The sequence below is a fragment of the Homo sapiens genome, chromosome 11 (genome assembly GCF_000001405.40).
Source record: "Homo sapiens chromosome 11, GRCh38.p14 Primary Assembly".
Taxonomy (NCBI): domain Eukaryota; kingdom Metazoa; phylum Chordata; class Mammalia; order Primates; family Hominidae; genus Homo; species Homo sapiens.
In genome coordinates this window covers 4,334,488-4,339,759 of record NC_000011.10, presented here as the reverse complement: position 1 = coordinate 4,339,759, position 5,272 = coordinate 4,334,488, and the positions used below count along the sequence as shown (strand labels likewise).

The 5,272-nt window shown below is 45.2% G+C and overlaps 1 protein-coding gene across 1 annotated transcript; it reads left to right on the top strand.

Annotated features, from left to right (window-relative positions):
- Window positions 1-414: 414 nt before the first annotated feature.
- SSU72L1 (SSU72 like 1) lies at window positions 415-1,515 on the top strand. Its single transcript, NM_001413998.1, has one exon. It carries the CDS (start codon window positions 516-518, stop codon window positions 1,098-1,100), a length of 585 nt encoding a protein of 194 aa, NP_001400927.1. The 5' UTR covers window positions 415-515; the 3' UTR covers window positions 1,101-1,515.
- Window positions 1,516-5,272: the final 3,757 nt, after the last annotated feature.

Here is a 5,272-nt window from a genome sequence, read left to right as displayed (position 1 = left end):
GCAATTGCATTTCTCGAACACTATGAAAATTAAAACAAGCAACAACACTTATAATTTATAATTAAATAGGGTACAGCCTTGCACATCGTGAACATGTTTATCATCCAATTTCATGTCTGGAGGTCACTGGAGAGTCCTATGACATGCTTGCAGGTAGCTTGTCTTGGCCATTGTCCATAGCAGCCCCCATTCACTAGGAGAACCACCAGAGCAAACTCCAGATTTTAAATGAATCCAGACTGGGTGGTGCCACCTTTGTGGAGAGTTACTGCTTTAGGTAATTTAATCATCTTGATTGTTCTTGTGATGAGTTAGGAGATGATTATCACAACCTAATCAATCCAGAAGTCATGAAGTCTCCACCCACTCATTAAGGTGACTCAATATAAACCTGCCTCCTGTGCCTCCACATTAGCTCGTTTGGAAGACCTGGATATAGGTGGTCGTCTCCTCGGCTCCGAGTCCCTGCAGCAGCTGAGGTGCCTGTGTCTCTCTGGTTCCCAGTGGCCGCCATCATGCTCTCCTCCACACTCAGGGTGGCTGTGGTGTGCGTGAGCAATGTCAACAGGAGCATGGAGGCCCACAGCATCCTCAGGAGAAAAGGGCTAAGTGTCCGGTCTTTTGGAACTGAATCTCATGTGAGGCTACCAGGACCAAGACCCAATCGTCCTGTAGTTTACGATTTTGCAACAACATATAAGGAGATGTACAATGACCTCCTCAGGAAAGATAGAGAACGCTACACCCGCAACGGAATCCTACACATCTTGGGAAGAAATGAGAGAATCAAGCCCGGTCCAGAAAGATTTCAGGAGTGCACTGATTTCTTTGATGTCATCTTCACCTGTGAGGAGAGTGTCTATGACACAGTGGTGGAAGATCTGTGTTCCAGAGAACAGCAGACCTTTCAGCCTGTGCACGTGATCAACATGGAAATCCAAGATACCCTGGAAGATGCCACCCTGGGAGCTTTCCTCATCTGTGAGATTTGCCAGTGCCTGCAGCAGTCAGACGACATGGAAGACAATCTGGAAGAGCTGCTGTTGCAAATGGAGGAGAAGGCAGGAAAAAGCTTTCTTCACACCGTCTGCTTCTACTGAACACCTGGGCTGGCTTTGTCCCCTTCCTCAGTAAGAACTTAGGCATGGGACTTTAGTCCGGATTTATTGTGAGAAGCATCTGCAAAGACCTTCCACTGAGTACTGTTTGTGTTACTTTTGTACACATCACCTGGAAAGAGACTATTACCAAGAAAATATTTTATGGGAAATGAGAAGGACTAACATTTTTAAAAGCACTGAAAAATGCTTGGCATTGTGCTAGGTGCATTACATGGCATAACTAATTTCATGCTTATATCATTCTACAAGAAAGCTAGCCCACCATGACGCCATTTTCCAGATGAGCAAACCGAGCTGATAATGGACTGCTGGAAAAATGATTTGTTTAAGGGTATTCAGCAGATAAATAACATTGTATAGATAAGCACCTTTTAAATAAACTTCCTTTTCTCAATTTGAGTGGTTTTTTTTAATTTTTAAATTTTTTAAGTTACTTGAGACCAGTGAAGTGTGGTATGTTAACTTAAATGTTCTTCTTTAATAAGAGTATAATATTACATGTTTGAACAGATCAATGTTTTTACATATAGATTATATCTTTTTTACTAATGCTCACTTTAATAGGTAAAATCCAAGTTGGGTAATGAACTACATATGATTGTAACATTTGGAATTATCTGCTCAAATCATAGGTCATCAAATTAAATGAAATAAAAAATGTAAATAAAAAGTATATTCTTATTTCTGTTTGGGGGATGCATTTCAAGCCACTAAGCGACATGCTTTTGTTTAAACCTTACGAATTACACTGAAAAAAAAGGGATCTTTCATAGTGAAAATTTTATTAGGTTTAAAATATTCATTGGTATGAACACTGAGAACATCAGGTGATAAACCTAATGATGTTTTCAAGGAGAAACAATTGAAACTCTTTTTCATAATCCTTGGTAGTGGCACTAAACCATGTTTACTAATAGGAGAAAAATAGATCAGAAGTAGTTGTTCATAGTTAAATTAATTGACATGTTATCTATTGAACTAGACTTATTACGGCAACCTAAAATAACAGCAGAGATTAGCTCTCAAAATGAGTTTATTTGAATGAAGGACTGGAATCAGGAATATACCGGGTATAACAAGTCACAGGTGTATCCTGAGAGGTTAGGGTAAGGGGAAACTTTTAAAGGCAAAAAGAAGTCCACAGAAGCTGCTTTGAAATAAATTTATTGGTCACAGAAGCTCATTGCAGGAGTCGGCATTAGCTTCTTGGTGGAGACAGCCATTGTTAGGCATGTGTTCTTGTGAGAACATTTTATCTGGAATGCTGCAGTCTTGAAGATATTGCAGTTATAGAAATATGTGTGGCCATGCAGAATGAGCAAAGTGTGTAAGACCTGCTGATGGTGTAAAGCATGTAAGATGTGCCATAATCTCTTGTGGGTTTTAGAGAGTCCTTGTGATAGTTCTTATCTCAAGTACACAAGCATGGGCTCCCCTCCTTCATGACCTTCCAGCTCCACTTCATCAGCCTTCTCCACTGTGAATTTACCCTTTTTCCCATTTTCCATGCTGGACTATTTGGAAAAAGTCCCTATGTGCAGCCCACATTTAAGGAGTGGGGACTTGTGCCCTACTTCCTTGTGGGTGGATTATCCATTTAAATTATATGGACTTACTCCTCACAGATGTGTCTATTCTCCCCCTCATTAATGAATTTATTCAATTATTTCTTCATAGCAGTATGGAATCTTGGATATTTATTTTTCTATGTGGGGTTACAATTCGATCCTGCTTTGTTTTGTTGCTCAAACTTTCTGTTTTGGCCATCGCAAGCACTTTCAGTTGCCTCCTGGGCCCTTTCATGTGCCCCATCGTGGTGTTTGTTTGGTTTTACTTCATTTTTCATGGAAAAGGAAACACTCTGGCATTATGAGATGCCCCAGGTTCATCTTATATATTTCCAGCCTCAGAATCAACAATTTCTCCAAATAATCCTGTTTGTATTACTGGAGGACGATGAGAGTAATCAAAATCAAGTGTGCTTGATGCTACTAAGGTACCAGTGTTTTCTGTCCTGCCTCCTTCGGCTACATTTAAATTTTTTCCCTTTGTCTTAATTTTCAGTTTGATTGTGAGGCATCTACATACAACTTTCTTTGTTTTTAGGCCTCCTTGAAGTTCTGTGAACTTTTTCAATCTGTAATATTTTAGCTTTTTCCCTAATTTGAATAATTTCACAATTATTGCCTCAAAAACAAAAATCAGTCCCATTCTTTCTCTCATTTCATTTTGAGACCCAAACTACACATCTGGTAGACCTTTTGATATTGTTCCTCAAGTACCTGAGGATCTCTTTCTTTTCTTTTTTGTTCTTTTTTTCTCACTTCTTCAGTTGGATAATTCTGCTGATAGACCTTATGGTTAATTTTTAGAAGTAGGATTACTGTGGTCAAAGAGATGTATAGGCCAGAAACAGTGGCTGATGCCTATAATCCCAGCACCTTGAGAGGCTGAGGCAGGAGAATCGCCTTGAGGCCAGGAGTTCAAGACCAGCCTGAGCAACACAGTGAAGCCCTATCTCTACAAAAAAATTAAAAATAGAAATTAGCGAAGTGTGGTGGCACACACCTGAGTCCTAGCTACTTATAAGGCTACTTGGAAGACAGAGTAAACATGTTTTTAGATTTATTAGATATTCAAGATGCCCTCCATAGAGCTTGTAACATTTTTCATTATGACGGGAAAACATGCCTTTTCCCTCACAAACTTGCCAGCAGGGTATAGTGTCAAGCTTTTGAACATTTATCAATCTGATAGTTTATCAGGTATGGTTGCGCATCTGTTAACATAGCTGCCAGCCATTCTCTCTGCTGAACACTCGTGCCATTCCCCCATCATGATGTGCAGTCTATTACCCATCCCCTTCTATCCAGGGACATTGCCTTATGACTCGCTTCAACCAACAGACTGAGCTTGAAGTATTACATGCTCTGCTTCATGGATTAGACTTGTGTAAAACCACAAACAAGCCACATGGTGATTACACAATCCAGGTCAGACCTTGGGGTAGATCGGACATGGGGCCGGGAGCTGTGGCTCACACCAGTAATCCAAAATACAAAAATTAACCAAGTGTGGTGCTGTGCACCTGTACTCCCAGCTACTTGGGAGGCTGAGGCAGGAGAATTGCTTGAACATGGGAGGCGGATGTTGCAGTGAGTGAGCCAAGATCGCACCACTGCACTCCAGCCTGGGCAACAGAGCGAGACTCTGTCTCAAAAAAGAAGAAGAAGAAGGAGGCTCTCCCTCTCCCTCTCCCTCTCCACGGTCTCCCTCTCCCTCTCCCTGGTCTCCCTCTGATGCCAAGCTGAGGCTGGACTGTACTGCCGCCATCTCGGCTCACTGCAACCTCCCTGCCTGATTCTCCTGCCTCAGCCTGCCCAGTGCCTGGGATTGCAGGCTCGCGCCGCCACGCCTGACTGGTTTTTGTGTTTTTTGGTGGAGAAGGGGTTTCGCCGTGTTGGCCGGGCTGGTCTCCAGCTCCTGACCGCGAGTGATCTGCCCGCCTCGGCCTCCCAAGGTGCCGGGATTGCGGATGGAGTCTCGCTCACTCAGTGCTCAATGTTGCCCAGGCTGGAGTGCAGTGGCGTGATCTCGGCTCGCTACAACCTGCACCTCCCAGCCGCCTGCCTTGGCCTCCCAAAGTGCCGAGATTGCAGCCTCCGCCCGGCCGCCACCCCGTCTGGGAAGTGAGGAGCGTCTCTGCCTGGCCGCCCATCGTCTGGGATGTGAGGAGCCCCTCTGCACAGCCGCCCAATCTGAGATGTGAATAGCGCTTCTGCCCGGCCGCTACCCCGTCTGGAAACTGAGGAGTGTCTCTGCCCGGCCGCCCAGTCTGGGAAGTGAGGAGCGCCTCTTCCTGGCAGCCATCCGGTCTGGGAAGTGAGGAGCGTCTCTGCCCGGCCGCCCATCGTCTGAGATACGCGGAGCCCCTCTGCCAGGCCGTGACCTCGTGTGGGAACTGAGGAGTGTCTCTGCCCGACCGCCACCCCGTCTGGGAGGTGAGGAGTGTCTCTGCCCCGCCGCCCCTTCTGAGAAGTAAGGAGCCCCTCCGCCCAGCAGCCGCCCCTCCTGGGAGGGAGGTGGGTGGCAGCCCCCTCCCGGCAGCCGCGCCGTCCGGGAAGTGGGGGGCGCTTCTGCCCGGCTGCCCC